Here is a 20,746-nt window from a genome sequence, read left to right as displayed (position 1 = left end):
AGGAAATAAAAGAGCGTAATGGCCATTTTTATTTAGTATATAGAAGTTAAGCATATTATATCCTATAGCACCACCATTTGTAAACTATATGCCTTTGGTCACATGTAGCTTTTCTAGGCTTCAGTTTCTGCACTTATAAAACAGGGCTAATAAAAATAGATTTTTACGTGAGAATTAAACAAGAGTGCTGTAAAAAGTGCCTGGTATGTAGTAAGTGCTCAACCAAAGCTAGTAATAACACCAAGAACACTAAACATCATGCTTGAATCGATATATTCTATAATCTTGTTTTTTTGTTACCTGTATGCATGTGACTGATCTTACTGTGAACTGCTTAAAGACAGTAGTTACATTTTAAACTTTTTTACTCTGAGAATGCATAGTAGGCATTTAACGTCTTAAGCTTGACCATATAACTTCTTAATAAAATTACGTGTTTAAAATACTTTAATGTATGGGGCTGACAGAATTAGAGGATTCATTTACTTATTTATTCATTTCATAATATTCATTGAGCATCTATTGCGTGCAAAGTAGGAAAACTTTGCCTTGGAAAAAACAAAGATAGTCCTTGCCACCACAGATTAATAAAATTGTAAATGGATACTACAAATACATAATTTGTTTGGTTATTGATCACTCAAGTAAAAAAAAACCTTTGGGAATTTAATAGTGAGTGACTAAGGGCAACACACATTAAACACATCAAAGCAAGATCCCTATTTACTGTTTCTATAGTGAATGGAAAGATAATCATCATGGCATGATGATAATGATGATGAACCTGATGACGATAACAACAGCTAACATTAACTGAGTGCTTACTGTGTGCCAGGCCCCTTGGGTCACAGGTGTGGGGGTCCAGGCAACTGCAGAAGCTGCCAGAGGAGCCCAAGCCTTTCCATCAGGACCAGGCAGTTCTCTGAACAAAGGGCTTTGCACTTGGCATCATACAGGAAGGTACAAACAGCTCCCAGCTCCTCGCCAAACAGAGCCTATGACCATAAATCAAAGAACAATCCTCATGCACGGCCGATGAAAAAGGACAGCATGCTCTGTACAACTTGTGTCACAGCTGCAGCCACAGACAGTAAATGTTTTTGGAATAAATGACTACTAGCTTCACCTTCAACATTATTCAAGATCCCAGGAATCAGAGGGTCAGGGACCGCATTTGGAAAAATTAGGAGGGGTCGATCTCTCAAAAAACTTCATAGAGAAGCAGTGGCTTCAGGCTCTCTGCTATGGGTCAGCTATGTCACCGATGCTTTGGTATTAATTCAGAAGGCAGGACCTCAGTGCTCAGTGTATAGCCAGGAGGGAGCTATTTCAACAATAGATTACTGTAATGTACTCGGCCAGTGCAGCCCTTACTGTTACCATGAGTTAACGCCGATTCATTTGAACCATGAAAATAAAAAAAATTAACAACAATAATAATGAACCTTTCATACACATGCTAGCTTCACTAGAGAGTCCCACACAGAATATGGAACTAGGGGCCAACATGTAGATTTGTGGCACTGCCCAGGGGACTCCAGAGTCCAAAAAGCAATGAATGCATTAAGCAAATCCATAACTGCAGTTTTCTCATGTGTGACAGATATAATGTCCCTCATTTTACTTAACTGTTTTGGGATATCATGTGTGAATGAGCACAGTGGAACAAAAAAAGGGCAGCTTTTGATGGGCTCTGATTCCACTCTTGAGGAGGCGGGCACACTCAGCAGTAACCTTCTGGCTGGAGCACATATTTTGGATTTGCCATGCCAGGAATCCAACCTGAAACCTCCCTCATACCTCAACTGAGGACTGACCACAAGCCACAAAAACCTCCCATCCCCACTGCAACTGTTTTCATACAGAACCCATTACTCTAAATGAAATCCATGGGTCACCTCACATCACTGTGGCGGCAGTTAGTGCAACACAATTTAACTCCTTGAGAGACTGAAATATCAATTATTCCACTGTGATGTCTTAATTTGGTGGATTTTGGGTATAGGTACAGAAGACAAGAATTTATTGCTACACATTCCTGACTCCAGGCATATTTTCTTTGCCTCAGTTTATCCATTTGTAAAATAATACCAATGATGCATGAATGTTTCAGAAATGTTAGGTTCAAGGCATTGTTTTAGGAATGGCAGAGCATACGGAGCTTTTACTTAATATTTATAAACCTTTGAAATCTCCTTATGTGTAGAGCTGTTTAAGTATAAATTATTATTAAAATTATTAGCCTTGAGAATTATAATTACTGCGTCATTATTTTTCTCATTATGCCCATTCTATGGGGGTTTTCCTGTAAATATTCCAAATGAGCTATTGGCTTTATTATATAATCAATTTAATGTTTACTTGAAAGCTTTAAAGACAAAATGTGACACAAATTTGCAAGATTTGAGGTGATACAAATATATAATCTCTTTTCCCAAAGAAGTTTTTGTAGGAAAATATCACTGGTTGGATGATGGCTACTTAGAAAGGATTACTACAGATTTGTTCAGTGGCTTTGGCTCTTATTTTTGGAAATGGGCCGGCCAAGATGTAATGCTCATACACTAATAGAAACTGATTCCCATTAGAAGCAGCTGGCTTACAGGGGCTAAGGTACTACTCCTTCCACTTTCTTCCTAAGCCATTACCTATTGCCATATTTCTTATAAACTTCCTCAGTCCTCGCAGTGAGCTCAATAAGAAATATAAAAAGATAAGGAAATCGTTAACTCACAGAATGTTAAAACCAGAAAAACAAGAATGACCATTTATTACCTACTTACCTTTCTGTCTGCCAGTTGTTTTCTAAAATGTATTACATGTAAGATCTCATTTTATCCTCACCCTTTTATCAGCTCAATAAGATAACCAGTGGTAATATCTCCATTTTCATACAAGGGAATGAAAATTCAGAGGCTAAGCAACTAGCATAAGGTCACACTGCTGGTGGTGTGTAGAGCTAGGTTTTGAATCCAGACCATATACTCATGGCCATTAGGACTTCAAACATCAGCTCCTCCTGAAGTCTTCCCGGGTGCCTTAGGCTGGAAGGTGCCAGTGACAATTTGGCATATGTGTGTTATGCTGGAGTAACAAATGATCCCACATTATGAGTGGTTTAAAAAATGGTAGCTTATTTCTCACACCTACTCAAATCCAACATGGGTCACTGGGATCTCTGCTCCCCGTTACCCTTCCTCCAGGGCCCAGGACACAGAACAGTCGCCGTCTATGTCATGAAGAAGGAATGAGAACTTCAGAGGGTCTTGTCATTAAACATGTCAGCTTGTAGGAAACATGTCATTTCCACTCACAGCTCATTGGCCAGAACTAGTTACATGGTCCCACCCGACCTCAAAGGGGCAGAGAGTTCAATTATCCTTGTGCCCAGAAGGAGACGAGAACCAGAGGTTTGCCAGCAGCAATAATGACTATCATAGTGCTGGGGGGATTAGCTGGTCTCGTGCCTTCAGGCTATAGGGAAGGAACTGCGTCCAGAAAGGTTGTTCGACTTGCCTAATGTTGCCCAGATAAGCTAGCTGGAAACAGGCGAGGAATGAGAGCCCAGGTTTCTGCAGTCCCTCACACTTTACCAACAACACATCCTCTTGTGGACTAACTTCCTGTAATGATGGTTTCCACTTCATCTAATGCTCAGTCATGGAGAGTACAGAGATAAATAATAAACCAAGTAGGAGTTGCCATTATCTGTGGCTGAAAGGCAGGAAGAACTTCCTCACAAGCAGCCTTTCCCTTAGAAAATATAAGGACACATTCACAACCCTTGACTTCTACTGAAATCTCTATTGTCTCTATTACCTCATGAATTTGAAACTATTACCATTCCCATTTCACAAGTGATGAAACTGAGTGTCAGGCAGGCCAATTCATCTGCCCCCAGAGGAAATGGTAGAGCAGGGATTTGAATCAGGGGCTCTAGTTTAAGCCTGCACTAAGCTATGCTTCCTCTTCGGGGTTGCTTAAGAAGTATTATCTATCCTATATCCATAACCTTATCATTGGATACTAAGTGCAAGGTCAGATTTCAAACTGGAACCTGCTTTTGTCAGTTACCGCAAACATGGCAGTGGTTCTGCTTAAGGCTAACAGTCACGTAGGGAATACAAATCCTAACCAAATGTCACCTCCTTCATGAAATCTTCCCTCATGCCCATCAGGGTGTGATTTTCCCGTCGGAACTCATAACATCTTTTATAAAAACCTTTCGTGAACATATTTAAGATGTTTGACCCATACTGTCTATCTAGGTGTTAGCTATTATTATCTGACAATAACAAGCCTGTAGAATGCCATGAATGAAAAGATTTTTTAAAAACACCAGGATAAAACTATCTTATTGAAATAGGCAGAACAGTTACAGAAATGATTTTGACAGGAATCATTTTATGCAACATCAAAATAGCCTTCTCAGTTGAATCTCCCAGACCCTGAAAAGCATTCAAAATAAAACAGACATTCCTGTCTTTTGGCTAGCTCAGCACTGAATTCCTAAAGGCAAGGGAAAAGATCATAAGACAACTTGAGATTATTCCATGATTCTACTATTAAACAAAAATTGTTATTTTAAATAAAGCCTCGCAGGCCCTAAGTAAATAAATAAATGGCAGGAGTCAGGCTTTGAACGTACTTAATTATTAGTATCGTCCGCACCAGTTTTATTCCCAATAATACTAATAAGTTACCCTTGTAGAATCGTTGATATGGTGAGCAGTTCAAAAATGTCCTTGTTGTCAAGAAACAGGGAATGATGTAATTAACAAAACTCACAGAAGATTGTTTTTAAAAAAGTTGTAGGCCAATAATGTTACCCTCCTCCTCTCCCATGGCATCACAACACCAGACTGATTTTGAGTGTCTCAACTTCCTGGACCCACTCTCTGGTTTTTCTGTAAATCTAGTTTTGTTAGTTGGTTTGTGTGCTTTCCTTGCTGATTTTTAAATATTCTTTAAGTATCTGAATAGCAAATCCAGTAGGTAAAAAAACAAAACGACGACAACCACAACAACAGTAAAAGGAATTGCTAAAGTAGAAGAATCAATTTGCAAAAGAGGGTGGAAAGTAGGAGGGTAGGAGGCAGTAGGGTACGCCGAAAATATACGTGATTATTCAATAAAATCATCATGAGCTTATAAAGATTTAGGACGTTGTAGGAAAGTTTAGAATTCAGAAAGGGTTGATACATATATTTTTGGGAAGAGTCACAGCTTCAGGGACATAACTGCATTCCACAAGTGCAAAAGCATTTACTTGTATAACATGGAGTTGCCTAGTTACCATATTTAGAAAATATAGTGCAAAATAAAACAGAGACAGAAACTTGGAGTTATAGTACTTCTTTTAATGTTGGTAGCCAGCCTACTTCAAACAGTGAACTAAGGATTGCCTCACGGCTGTGCAATATTCAAGGCACCCTGCCCAGAGGGAAGTGAGGGTTAAAATCCAGAGATCTCCAGGTTGTACTCCAACATAATAGTAAGAAGGGACTGTTTAGACTTGGAGTCCTGAGGGCAATTATAAAACAATCTTTTTTTCATTGCCAATGTTACTGACAAGAAAATAAAAAACAGTATGCCCATAAGAGAGCTGTATGTGTACGAGTACTCTTGTAATAGTCCTTGTAGTCCTTTTGTGGAAGGCCACATCTTTGATGCTACTACAAAATCTCTGCAAGAAGGATCTAGCAGTCACCTTCTGTGTAATTTTCTATGCATTCATTCACTCATTCAGCATATAATTATTGAATAACTACTGTGTGCCAAGCACCATGCTGGGCACTAGGCAGAAATAATCTCTACTGTTAAAAGAGCCTATAGTCTAGCAAGGATGACAGAAAGAGAAGAGAACGGATTATTATAACAGATAATTATATGTAAAGGAAAGAGGGTTCTTGGGCACCCAATGAAAAAATAAGGATTCTGACTCAGCCAGGGAGCAGATTATGCAATCAGTGATATTTAAGGGAGATTTGTACAATGTTTGCCTTCAAAATACGATATGCTGCTATAAGAGAGGCAGGTAGAGTTTACAAGATATAAAAGAATCAACTTTTGTATATCATTTTTACCAACACTCCTTTGATCTTACTAGCAACACCATGAGATAAAATTAATATTCCTCTTCTACAGATAAATCAGAGAGATAAACTGACTCACCTCAGATTGCCTGACCAAATGACTTTGAGATGACACTGATTTTAAGTGCTCATGTAGTAATACTGTCCATGATTTCTACTGCAGATTTCCAGGATTATGTACTCAATCAACTAAATGTGCAGACTTTCTCACTGGTTAAGTGAATCAATAACAACACCTTACATTTGTATAATATTTTATAGTTTTCTTATCCCATTGTTACATATGAAAGTGTCAGAGGCATGTGAACCAGAGCAATTCCATCTCGAATAGTAGCTGGGTAAAATAAGGCTGAGATCTACTGAGCTGCATTCCCAGATGGTCATGCGTTCAAAGTCACAGGATGAGATGGGAGGTCGGCACAAGATACAGGTCAGTGAAGAAGCCGGCCAAAACCCACCAAAACCAAAATGGCAACAAGAGTGACCTCTGGTCGTCCTCACTGCTACACTCCCATCAGTGTCATGACAGGTTACAAATGCCATGGCAACGTCAGGAAGTTACCCTATATGGTCTAAAAAGGGAAGGCATGAATAATCCACCCCTTGTTTAGCATATCATCAAGAAACAACCATAAAAATGGGCAACCAGCAGCCTTTGGGGCTGCTCTATGGAGTAGCCCTTCTTTTATTCCTTTACTTTCTTCATAAACATGCTTTCACTTTACTCTATGGACTTGCCCTGAATTATTTCTTGTGCGAGATCCAAGAACCCTCTCTTGGGGTCTGGATCGGGACCCCTTTCCTGTAACAAAACTCTCGTATGTAATAATTTAATCAAATTTAATCAAACTGCCTAGTATCCTTTTTCTTTTGGTTACTTAATTACTGATTATTATTGAATTGGCCACAATGACTAGTAGAAGACTTTTTCATATAACACAAAGCATACAGTTTAAATTTTGCACTGAAGAACGATAGACAGCACAACTGCAACTGCTTTTTAAAGTGAAATCTCATTTCAAAGATGTTAAATTTCTGTTTCAGATATGACAATTAACATGCTAATGTTATGTTTCCTTCTTCAAGAATTTAACTCTAATGAAAATAATTTTTGCTGGATTTAGTAAAATTAACCTTTATTCATAAAACTTTGCTCACAGAACTTCATGGTATTTCTTTTTTCGCCCCATGTGACTTAAAAGAAGTTCTGAACATCAGGCATATATCCAAAAAATAAATCTGTGCCAATTTACTAATCACTATCAAAACAGAGAAAATTTAAAGTGATTCAAAATACCAAAAACAGCCTAGATTGTGACATGAAAGAAAAACTGATTATTTTTCCTTAAATGTTTTTGGAATTTCTTTCTAAATATTTCTATGTATTCAAGTCTACATTAGGCAATTAATTTAATTCTAAGCCACTGAAGTTTTAAAAAACAAAAGAATACTTTGAATTTAAAAGAGGAACTTTTCTTGAGCAAATGCTCTTTTCTTGAGCAAACTGAAGTAATTTGGACAACCGGGCAGGCCAGGGTGGTCTTGCTACAATATTCAATCTTCTTGGATTAGTTACTTAACTTCCACAACAGCTATGTCCTTGAAAGTATTGTCAGTCATATGCCAGATGTAAAAACACATCAACCAGTGAGCCTTTGGGAACCTGTCGCGGTTTCCACTGTCTTATTTAGTTTATATTAAATTACATACAAAGACTTCAGGATACAGTGAGACGCTGATAAACACAGGTTCCTGCAAACAAGGGGTGTCCAGGGGGTTGGCCAGGGTGCTGCCCCACCTTAGTAAAAGGAGACATCGGCTGATGAGGAAATCTGGCACCATCCCATAATTCTTGTCAAGGCAAGCCCAGAGAGCGAGCCAGACTTACACACGCTAAGGGCAAGGCTACAGCGAGGGATTTGGAAGGACCCAGTCATTTGGAGTGGGGAAGCATGTCTGGGACATGGGTTTGTGGGGACCTCTTATCACTTTGCCTTAAAAGAAGAAGGAATGAAATTCCTTGCTAAAATCTGATGGGAAAATAGAAGCAATTAAGGTCCTCAAATGCATCCTACTGTAAGTGAGTTTCTGGGAATGTGTCCTCCTCAGTAGTGGGAGGCATTGCTCCTGCTATGCCCTTCTCAGCATGCACAGAGGATGCAGAAGAGAAATACACATTTCAAGTTTAGAACCCTGTAAATGTTGACTTAGAAGGTGAAAAACCCAAACCTTGCTCTTTGAGGTCTTGCAGTAAAATCTCTTTTCATTCTCTAACATGTGTTTTGTGGTTAGTACTATTTCACTCTCAATTCTGTTGTCTGGCACAAAACTGCCCAATGGCACAGAAGCCCAACAGGAGGGTAAAAGAAAATTGCTGAGCTCCAGCATTTCTCTTGTAATCCTTGGAGAACCATTTAGTACTGAACTTGTATCCAGGATACAGAACACTTTTTCCTATGCTGAGAGAGAATGACACAACTGGGCATTGTGGTGTGACCTAAATTCACAGATAAATATTTGGACGGCGACTCGCCCTTCACCTGGCATTAATCCTTTGCCCTTCAGTTTCAGGAAGATATGACACAGCCAGGGAAGGCATCTTGAACCGTATTGCCTCCTGATGGTATAAAACGCTTTTGTGGGACTGCATTGGACCTCATTATGTTACCTTAATGTTGGCGACTGAGAACAAGGCAGGTGAGGCGGAGGAAGTCCTTCCCCTGCTTGAGTTGCCTTTTACGAAGGAAGCTGAGGAGCCTTCTGGTTTTTAAATCCTGATTTCTGCAGCCCACACTCAACCTTTACCCCCATTTCTGCCTTTCTGTTTGTTATCTTTTAGAAGAACAGTCCCACAGGTAAGCCTGAGCTGCATGCCAGCTCTGCCTCCCTTCCACACAGAGATCAGTAGAGTTGGGATTCTAGCACCGCTATAATTTCTAATTTATACCAATCACATTACAGCTGAAAACAGTGCGGTCTCAGGCTGTCTAATATATGAGTCGTTATAAAGCTTTCCCTGATTCACTTATTGATCAACAACACTAGCTCTTAAAAACTATTTTAATCAGAAGGGGGATGTACTTCTTCACAGAGTTGAGGACTGGTCTTCTTATTTTCTAATGTTATCGTGCCCAAAGAAAGGGTAAATGAAAACACTAAATGCTCATAATTTTCCTAATAGTCTTTTTCTGCTTAAAAGAGCTGCCCCATTTTAAAATTTCATGCATGTTGCTATTCCTACAGTTTTATCATTTGTCAACAAATCAACTACCTGCTTAGCAGCCCTCATGAGGGATTTAAAATAGCCGCCATGAAAATCCTGGGCATTTACTATTTTTATAACAAACTTGATTGTCACCTATGATATTTCAAAGATCACTCCTCATATAGACATCACACTGGAAATTAGATGCAGGGCCCCCTTTCCATGGAACATTATGCACAGGCACTCTGACTAATAAATCTTCGTAGCTAATGCATTCCAGATGGAAGCCATATCTCACAGATTTAACCTTCCTAAACCCTTCCAAAAATTCCTCCCATCCAAAGCTCTCTGAATGAGATATGTTTGATTGAAATGGGATCATCAATACATGACAACTAAGTAATAGTACAAATGATTACTGCCTGCAGAAAAACTGCCATATTCCTTCCCACAAAGACATGGTTTTGGACAACCCCCAGGACAAGAAGATGGCCCTGTGTGTCTTACTAGATAGTTTAAATGCTTTCTTCTTGAATTCCCATTGCTGTTAACAGATGCTTTGCAGGAAACAGCCATTTCTGTCTCTTTAACTTTTGTACATGCATAACAAAGGCTGTTAAAAGAAATGAGCAAGACTCTTAGAGGAGCCACTCGTTAACATCCTGTTTAATCATGTCACCACGTTTAGCAGTCTACATCATTAGTTTATGTCAGGCAGATGCGGTGAAACACCTAAACACCTACTTGTAGATCCTTACAGAATCAGTCATGTGCAATGGTGAGGGCAGTGTCATACAAGATTATAGCTGCATCTGTAATATTCAGAACCATTACAAATCATCCCAACACAAGCTCAGCTCATGCAGCCTTCAAGAAGTTGGTTTTTTCTTGGTAGTTTCTCAAACATGGGTCAACATACAGCACATGGTTTTCTTATAGTTTTACAAGGGAACTGAACTTCTAGGAATGATATGAAACTGCCCCGTTCCACTCTCTGTTCTCACATGTGAGTGCTCTGCAAAGCAAGGAAGACCACCTTGAGAAGTGAAAGCCCGAAGAATTTCACTAGAAGGCACCATAGCAAAGTTTTAAATTCATAACAAACTTTGGCTTCTACCCACCCCCCAAAACCATCTTAAACTTAGGAGCTGAAATACAACAAAATTTCACTGAGTCAGACTGATGAGAGAAGGTCAAAATGAATTAGTGAAACATCAATGCTTTAAAATGTAAACCAAAGCTTTGTTTGTTTTGTTTTTACTTTCAACAGTTGCAGATTTAGTCACCTGAATTAACTTCCAGCAAATATTATGGTACATCTTAACACGGAATACTATTTGCAGCAACTGTCTGGATATAACAGATTATCATGCTGCCAAAATGCACACAAAATGTTTATCTCTTTTGTCTTGCCTGGTGGCCCCTTGCCTGATGGAAGCCAGCGCCGGGTGCCATTCAGAGACTCAGGTCTTGCTCCAGCTCCATGTAAACACTGTGTGATCCTGAGGCCACTCACTCAGCCGGGGGCACGCTGCCTCTCCTCACCTGTTAAAGGCAATCTGGCTATACGCTGGGTCCAGTCAACAGGTACTCCCATCAGTATCACCTCATTTTTCTCCCCAGATACACATACCTATTCTTGGAGTTTCTGATGCAGTAGGTCCTAAGGCAGAATCAGTAATAGTTGAGCGGTAGAAAAGAAATCCCCAACTCCCCGGTTTATTTCCCGAATCCCCTGTGGTGAAACTAGATTAGAAAGACCCTAAGACCCTTTGCAGCTCTCAAATACCATGATTTTACTGAATGCATGCCTATACTTACTTACAAAAATGATCTGTCATATATGCTTAGGAAAAAAGGTCTGGGATAAGATATCCAACAATAACAACAATAACCACCAACACTCATCAAACACTCATTTCATCCCTGGTGTTGTTCTGAGAACATCTCATGGAGTAACATGTTTTATACTCACAGCAATCTTAGTGGGTGGGGCCTTAAAGGTGGAGTCTGTTTATTATCCTCATTTTATGGTTGGGCCACAGAAAGTTAAGAAACCATAATGTTTAAAAGCAAATTACTTCCTGATTGGTAAAATTAAGGGTAATTTTTAACTTTCACTTTTGCTTTTCCACATTTTCTATCTTTTAAAATAATCATGCATTCCTTCTGTGATAAAATGTTTAAAGTTTAAAAACAAATTGTATAAAGCTGACTTGGCATTAATATACACTTACTGGCACTGTAAATATAGAAAACATAGAACAATCCATCTGTTGTTATGTGGGTAAAAAGCCAGGCAATAACAAATGAAAAAGGGTACAGGGTCCAGAAATCTAGGCTAAAGGAAGCTATCATAACTGAGCATGAAATTTAGTCCCTGGCAGCCAGGGCAAAAAGGGAAAACCTTCGTTGTTGCTTAATTTAAAAAAGGAAACAAAAAGGGCTGGTCATGGTGGCTCACGCCTGTGTTCCCAGCACTTTGGGAGGTAGAGGCAGGCAGATCACTTGAGGTCAGGAGTTTGAGACCGGCCTGGCTAACGTGGTGAATCCCCATCTCTACTAACAAAACAAACAAACAAAGGAAGCATATCAGACCATTAGGAGGATTAAATTGTTCCAAAGCTCTACAATTGAGGAGGAATTTCTCTGTGGGTCTCCAGGTAAGGAGGATGATTTTATTCTAACACTTAAAAAATAGGTCAACAATGCAAAAGTAAACTTAAGCCCAGCTGGGACTGAATTATCTTAAAATCCGAACTGGTGAAATCAGAACCAAAGGACTTCAAGCTACCAGAATGCTGGCCCCATTTTTCTTTTTTATGTTGCTGAATTTGTGGATAACAAATCCAGAATACGCTGTCTGTCTAAAAGACTGATCATCATTATCAGGAAAGGCCATTTATAGAACAGTTCTGGTTTCTTTAATCATAGCCCTTAAAAGGTCTTCTAGATACTAAATAATAGGAAATATTGGGAAGGACAAAAAACCCACAAAGCCCTTTATAAACTAGAGGACAAGCCTTGCTTGTGAGTGACACATGCAGAAACAACCCTAAATCATACAGTATAATTATCTTCTTTATGCTCTGGCTCTAAAATTCTTGAAAGCCCCTGCCCAAATGTCCTCCTCACTTTGATCTATGGTTGTAATCTTACATTAAAACTCAATCACACCAGGGAATGTCATTTTGCCAGCTTTCAGGCAGGTCTTAACAATAGACCCCTGGCTGAGATGAACATGGGAGAGATCAAGCACTCTTCACCTCACTGAGCAGCGGGGGCTTGGTGAGGCCGGCACACCTGAACAAGGGTGAGCTTGAGCTTGGAGCCTGCCTGGCTCATTTCAAAATGAACCTGGTCCACTGGCATCTGTGAGGGAATCAGGAGCCTCTGTCACCTACGATCATGTCATTTAGTTGCTATCTCCCAGCAAGGGAAAAAGCCATTCTCGGATACCTAATTTCCTTTCATTTTTTAAACAATAAGAAACCATGCTTACCCAAGCATAATTACAAGAAGAGAGGGAGCTTACACTTGAATAGGAATACATATACTTAATTTTTATTTAATGATCAATGCTACTTGCCACCTTTGGTCACACACATCATCAGGCTGTACATTATGACTTGCCTTTTTTTTTTTTTTTTTTTTTTTTTGAGACAGAGTCTAACTCTGTCGCCCAGGCTGGAGTGCAGTGGCACGATCTGGGCTCACTGCAAACTCCACCTCCCGAATTCACGCCATTCTTCTGCCTCAGCCTCCAGAGTAGTTGGGACTACAGGCACCCGCCATCATGCCTGGCTAATTTTTTTTGTATTTTTTAGTAGAGACGGGGTTTCACCGTGTTAGCCAGGATGGTCTTGATCTCCTGACCTCATGATCCGCCTGCCTCAGCCTCACAAAGTGCTGGGATTACAGGCATGAGCCAACACGCCCGGCCATGACTTGTCTTTATCAGTCTCTATGTACTCTTTCTTCTAAAAGATTGCAGGAAAGCATTTGTCTACTTTTTAAGGAGCTCCTTTCAAATTAAACTAGAAAATTAGAGGCTTTTAAAAATATCTAATCCTATTATGCTCATTAATAAATTCAGTTTGTCACCATGATTACAATAAAAGCAACTGACATTGTCCTAAAAATTCAACTCCTCCTTCACAGAAACTTTAAGCATGTAGGTTCAACCTCCTTTAACAATGCCCAGCCCCATCCGAGAGTCCACAACCAGGAGCCTGGGTGGTCTAAGTAGCTTTCAGTTCCTTCATTGCCTGAATGCACTTGTTCACAAGGCCACTTAAAATTAAACCAATATAGATTTTGACTCCAGCTTCAGCCAGGTTCTGGGATAAGAGGGCATCAACATTAACATGATGAGACAAATTGCTTTTGTAACACATTCTCAACCATTCTTTTTCTAAGAACCATAGATTTTAATATCATTATGAATTTGATGTAGAGGCTGTTAGCAGACTTCAGCAAAACACAGCACCTGAAATCAAAGCCCATACATACCCTGCCTGTGGTTATAAATGATACTTGTATGGATACTCAGAACAGTCTTTTTATAGGAAAGGAAGATTTTATTCAACAGTTTAAGAATCTTGCTATAGAACTTCTATTTCTTACTGTTTATAATTCTGAGTAGCCTTAAGGAGACTTACATCCTTTCTCTACTCCTTAATTTCTCCTTAGATGAAAATGGGCACAAGAAAATGTGCAAAGATAACAGGCCCAAGATTTACAGTGCTTGTAAATCCATGAAAGTGAAATGAACCTAAAGAAACCATAACAATGAACCGTATTGTCATAGCATACATTTTTAATATTTGTTATACATGTTAAAAGCATTTTAAAACTTATAAAGTGTCTATCATAGCTTATTTCAATGTATGAAAATGATCGAGAGAGAGGAAAATAAATAGTAACAGTTTCTGGACACCAAGAATGGGCAACGCACTTCAGGGTATTATTTCACTTCACCTGCAATAATTCTGTGCTGTCAGTTCTATTACTGTCAACATTCTACAAATAGCAGGACTGAGGTCCACAGGCTTTGCCAAGGTCACATGACTCAGAAGTGGAGAAGGCTCAGATTTAAACTTTACTAAAAGTGCCTAGAGACTTTGAACTCAAGAACCTACTTTTTAACCACTGTACCGTATTGTTTAACATAAGGGGAAATATGGGGGCAGGCAGAGCAAATAAGGAGGCACAGCTGTATCAATTGATGATTTGGGGCAAGTAATTTTGTATTCTACAAATATTTATTAGGCATGTATTTTTTATGTGCCAGAGACTAGAAAAGGTACTGAAAACACAGAGATAAAATATCTTGGATCTCAAGGATCTCCAAGTCTAGCTGGAACGATAAACAATTTGATCCACAATAATAGAGTAAGACTACACAACTTAAGGTTGTAGCCATTTTCAGCGTTTGTTAGGAAACGATCTAATACCATTATTTCAAATTGTAAAAAGACTTATGACAGTTACAGAGCTCCTATAGACATTAAAGCATATTTGTCTCATGAAAAAATAATATTTTGAGTTTTTATGTAGTAAAAAAGAACTCTAGGTCCAGTAATGCCTGGCAACCATGACAATCAATAATTACCAATAACATCTAGTTGTATTTGGGGATATTTGTAAACAATAGATGAAGAGAGTCGAGTAAAACCAACAGCAATTAAAATATGTATTGAAAACTTCTCTCTCCAATTCACACAGATTCAGATTTAGAAAAACAGCAAACAATAAAATATCATGGCCAACTCTAACATACAGTACAACTCAAACTACAAGCAATCTGGCAGCGAAATAACAACAGTATTTAAGGAAAGATTCCATGAAGAAATAAAGTGCCAGAAATTTAACTGAAAAATTGAGAACATATTATTCCACATATCATCTAGACTCAGATGTTTTTTTCAGGATCTATCTCATTTCATGAATAACACAGGAATTAAAAAAATAGTTTGGGAGACTAGACACCAAAGAGCTGTTATTTGTAGGTGCTACGATTATGGATTATGAGTCACTTTGCTTTTCTTTGTGTTTCTGTAGTCTACGCTTCTGCAATGAATACAGATTGCTTTTATAATCATATGGCTTTTTTCTTTTCCGATGACTGCAGATGCATCAGCAGAACCTACCACACGGCACCTACTGCGGCTCAGTTTTGCTGTAGAACCGAGAAACATCACGTTAGATGCTTTAGCAACAACAATGTATATGTTGCATAAAGAAAAGTGTCCCAGAAGAGCAGCCAGCTGTCCTTTACATGAAATTGTGGCACTGCCTGTAAGAAGTATATCCAATGAGAACTTGTCCTCACCATGTAATACTTTTAATGGGTGAGCCATTTCAACACTTTACATACTGCCGAGTAAGTTTCTACAGAACTTTCTCATTGTACTCAGCGCTGTCTGTGCAGTTAATTTAGGCATCAGAAAACTCAGTTGTTAATTTTCTGACTTGCCTCTGGACTCTTAAATGCTATTGCTCCAATCATAACACGTCGGAACACTTACGCAGATTTCAACAATAATATCCACAGCTGGGAATAAATCAAAGCAGTTTTATCACTGATTAAGTGCTATTGAAATATGGTTACAAGACAACATGAAGCAAAGGACAGATTTCACTTAGGAAGATTAAGACAGAGCCTGGGGGGGAATAAAAGAGGGTAATCCAAACAAAGTCTATGCAACATTTAAAAAATATAATTCAGAGTCAGAATGCAGATTGCATTTTTTAGCCATTTAAATTCTCAGTTTCTTCTCTGTGTGTGTGTGTGTGTGTGCATGTGTGTGCATGTATATGTGTGTGTGGGTGTCTGTGTATTTATGCTATAAAGTGGTTCAATCATATAAGATGAATTTAGGCACAGCTGTTTTTCAAGCTAAAGTGTCTTCATACTAAGGGGTCAAAAAAACGCTTTCTGTAAAGGGCTAGAATGTAAATATTTTAGGCTTTGCAGGGCATACATCCTCCGTTGCAACTACTCAGTTCAGCTGTGGTAGTGTGAAAGCAGCCATGACAACACATAAATTAATTGGTGTGGCTGTATGCCAAAAAAATTTACTTATAAAAACAGGCAGAGGGCTGGATTTGGCCCCTGGGATGTAGTCCACTTACTTTTGTACTAAGATAGAGGTTATTCCATCTACCCAGATAACTCCTAAAATATGAGGATGGAGTTGGGGAAGACATGTAGGACTCAACATACTCAGTCATCCTAAGCCTCTGCCTTATCACTCGGGTGAATGTGCACTCTGTCCAGAACTCCTGCAGTCTCTTTTCGGTGGACATACAGCAGACAATGTCACCTCTACCTGCTCCCTTGAGGCCTATGCGGTTGGGGTGTTTAACTCTCCTTGAGTGTCTGCCCAGAGATTCTTTTTGAAAAATCCCTTCTCCTCCTTTATTTCCTCCTCCTTTAAGTGCCCTTCCATTTCCATTGCTAATTATTTTTGGCCACAGACATATCAGGGTTTCCTCTTTATTATCAGATCGTTTGGGGTTTCTCTTGGACCTGGCTGGCATCTGGTGCAGACAGATTTTGGCCTGCTCACTCAGGCTGGGCTGACCAAGCCAGTTCAGATGCTTGTATGCTGCTATTTTTCATTCACATCTGTACGGACATTTGGAAGAGGGACAGCAGTTTTCGGCAACGTTTCATCCTTGTCTCAGGGGCACTTTGATATTTTCATCGTGGATCCAGATGATGGCAGAGAGATGTTCCTCATTATGATAAAGACCACCAAAATTTAGGTGCAAATGAAGTTCTTCCTTGCAAGATAATCTCAGAATTTAAAGTAATCTTGCCAAATAGGAACAATGATCATCAGAAACATCATTAAATTGGTAAGGACAACCACAGCGCTATGTATCAAGCACAGTTCATGGAATAAAGTAAGATGCAAAATGTATGCTATCAACACCTAGATGGGCCCTCAGCACCACTTTGCCCTCAGCGACCCTTCCGCATGGAGCTCACGAGCTTCTTTTGCAGTTGCCATTTCCAATCTTCACTACTCTCTTCAAGATTCCTATTCTATCTTTGGACTGTCTTTTAGAGAGATGAAATCTGTTATCCCCTTAAATTATGGAGTTCCCTAGGATTCTGGGCCCTGAATTTTCTTCTTTTAAAACTTTATATGTTCTTCTTAGAGGATCTCATCCAAGTGCATGACTTTTACTACAACCTACACAAATTCAAATGATGTTCAAATCTGTATCTCTAAGCCTCCTAAGTTTCAACCCTAATCAGTCCCATCTTTAACATATGTCTTAAAAGCACTTCAAATTTTTTATCTGTCCAATCGAATTAATAATCTTCTCCATCCCTCCTCCTACATAATTCATACTTATCATTATCACTATCTACCCAAATATTCTGGCCAGACGTGCTGGAGGCTAACTGTTCCCTCTGCCACACATGTAGAGACTCAGTCTCCAAATCCAATCTCTCCTACTTTCTAAATGTCACTTAATCCTTCTGTTTTTGTTTTTTTTAAGAGATAGGGTCTCACTTTTTCATCCAGGCTAGAGTACAGTGGCACAATCATAGCTCACTCTAACCTTGAACTCCTGGGCTTAAGCAATCCTCCTGCCTTAGCCTTCTGAGTAGCTCATACTATAGGTGTGTGCCACTATGCCTGGCTAATTTTCTTTATATTTTGTAGAGACAAGATCTCACTGTGTTGCCCAGGCTGGCTTGAAACCCCTGGATTCAAATAATCTTCCTGCCTCAGCCTCCCACAGCACTGGCATTACAGGTATGTGCCACTTTGCCCAGCCAATTCTGTTCTCACCCCTGCTGCTACCTTAGTTTTAGGCCCTCACTATTTTCTCTTCTTTCCATAGTGGTCACACTACTCCTAATATCGAAATCCTCTTTCATGTTATAGTTGCATGTCTAAATTTAAAAACTCACTGCTTAGAATAAAATTGTCAAACATCTTAGCATACCATTTGAGGTCCAATATCATTTCATGTTATGCCGGCACTCTTCTCCCTACCTCCTACAAATGCGTGCGTGCGCCCACACACACACTCACAGCACACGCACACTCTCATAGCACACACACAAAATCTAAACTATAGCCAGGTTGTACAACATGCTCTTCTGTGTTTCTGTGCCTTTGCACATTTCTTGCATTTAGAATTCTCTCATTCATGTGACATCTTACCCACCCATAAAAACTTAGCTTACAAGTACTATCCTCTGCAAAGACTCTCTGAACTTCTACCACCAAGCTAAGATAGTCCTTTAGGCCCCAACGGCCTTTTGCATATGCCCATGTGATAGCACTCAGCACAATGGATTGCTATTACAGGTCTATCTCTCTCTCCACAGATTGTGAGCTTCTTTAGATGAAGACACCTGCTTAGCTCATAAGTATATCCCACCATTCAGAATAGCATCTCGTGCATATTGCTATTTGGTAAATATTTGTAAGATGCATTATGCAATAGGTAGCTACATACAAACGTAGTTGTATTAGTTAATGAGCCTGCTGTAAGATTCAAACATAGTATTTCACCTCAAATCAACATATTAGAAAACACTAGGTAGCATAGAAAATATTATCTCATTTTGCAGCATTGGTCAGATCATACATGAATATACTTAATAGATTTTGTTCTCTGTAACTAATGCTATAGAAAACATGAATACAACTGACAGAAAGTCATAAAGATTTTATAAAATAAATCCTATAAGACATTAGGCAATAGAATAGAATTACGCAGTTAAAAAGAAAGAAAGAAAAGAAAAAGACCAAGGATGATTCAATGGAAACTCCTGAGCCATCTCAAGAATTTTCTGCTGAGACTGCTAACAAGTTTTTCTCCATCTCTTCCGAGGGAGGAATGAGATACAACTATCTAGTAAAGAACATGAAAGAATTTCAGGAATATCTATGTATCCTCTTGCTTATTAGAAAGCATGAAGTGGCCGGGCGCGGTGGCTCACGCCTGTAATCCCAGCACTTTGGGAGGCCGAGGCGGGTGGATCATGAGGTCAGGAGATCGAGACCATCCTGGCTAACAAGGTGAAACCCCGTCTCTACTAAAAATACAAAAAATTAGCCGGGCGCGGTGGCGGGCGCCTGTAGTCCCAGCTACTCGGGAGGCTGAGGCAGGAGAATGGCGTGAACCCGGGAAGCGGAGCTTGCAGTGAGCCGAGATTGCGCCACTGCAGTCCGCAGTCCGGCCTGGGCGACAGAGCGAGACTCCGTCTCAAAAAAAAAAAAAAAAAAAAGAAAGCATGAAGTGTCCCTAGAGAAGATGGAAAAAATAATCCAAGATGAAAACTGGAAGAAAAGATTTCAGTGGGGTTGATGTTGACTCAAACGGAACATCAGAAGATTAGAGAATTGAAGCTATCATTGAGGAAAAAGATAAGAGAAAACTAGATTTCACTAAAGCCACAAAAACTGTAAATGGCACTGACCATAGCAGTTAAATTTGGATCTTCTGAAAAAAAAAAAAAAAAGTGCAACACTCCTTACCCAAAGAAGAGGCACAGGCCTCAGCCCAGGGAGGTCCCTGTGTACCCTCCAGAGAAAGAAGGTTGGTGGGTCAGCTGGTGACTGTCTCCTAAACAATGGGTTGGTTATTCAACATGGGTAACCAAGAAGTTCATTCTTGCTTAAAATGATATGCCACTGAACCTGCAAATTCCTATTCAAGTAGGTTGACTTGAAGAGAGAATAAATGGTAGTTATAGAAAATGTTCCAAATTGTCTCTTGAAGATTTAAAGCTCTGGGTCTGAAACTGAAGGCCTTGGGGAAATATCTTCATCCTTGAGGTTATGGCTTGGTATGAGAAAGCTGGTCAAGAGAATAGTGTCAACATATTTTTTGTTATTGGAAATGTTTTTTCAATTGTATAACAGAGTTATATTTCACTCATCTGGCTCAAGATAGAGAAATTATTCTAAAGATCAGGAAATGTGTATGTGAGATATAAAAATATTTCAAAGAGAAATTGGAGGCACATGTCAGAGTTGGGGTGAAACAGGTAAAATTCTACAGGAGAATAGCTGTAGTAGAAGACAGTGAGTTTCACAAAGACGGAATGATAACAGAGGTTTTGCTACGAATACTTAGTTTTTGAAGTACATATAGTAATATGTAAAATGTTGACAATAAAACAAAATGAACTTAAATATTAGCATAAAGGAGAATAATAGAAATTTTTTTAACACAAAGGAATAAGCAGTATACACCTCAACTCAGAGCGATGTGACTCATGCATGGAGAACAATGACAGAGGGTGTGTATTGATCAAAATAAATACAATTAACCAAGTGCCGAAGAATAGTACAGTCTGTTGTGAACAAACACAAACAATGTAAACAACCTGAGGAGAAAATAATCCTAGAAGGTGGGAACACAATGGAGAATATTTTGGTTTAAATAAAAAATACTTAAGTTG

At 39.2% G+C, this 20,746-nt stretch overlaps 1 protein-coding gene across 19 annotated transcripts in view, besides 1 other annotated feature; it reads right to left on the bottom strand.

The window, feature by feature from the left end:
• The window catches only part of NPAS3 (neuronal PAS domain protein 3), an 869,389-nt gene that overhangs the window by 338,440 nt on the left and 510,203 nt on the right, over positions 1-20,746 (bottom strand). The window lies entirely within an intron of this gene.
• Positions 12,233-12,789: an enhancer, noted in NCBI's record as "NANOG hESC enhancer chr14:33922151-33922707 (GRCh37/hg19 assembly coordinates)". NCBI's record gives its function as "activates a minimal SCP1, AML or CMV promoter by ChIP-STARR-seq in primed H9 embryonic stem cells {active_cell/tissue: H9 hESC(primed)}" and the evidence as "EXISTENCE:reporter gene assay evidence [ECO:0000049][PMID:30033119]".

Source organism: Homo sapiens, chromosome 14, assembly GCF_000001405.40.
Source record: "Homo sapiens chromosome 14, GRCh38.p14 Primary Assembly".
Taxonomy (NCBI): Eukaryota; Metazoa; Chordata; class Mammalia; order Primates; family Hominidae; genus Homo; species Homo sapiens.
Note: the sequence above shows the minus strand (reverse complement) of the source record. Positions and strands in the feature narration are given on the sequence as shown.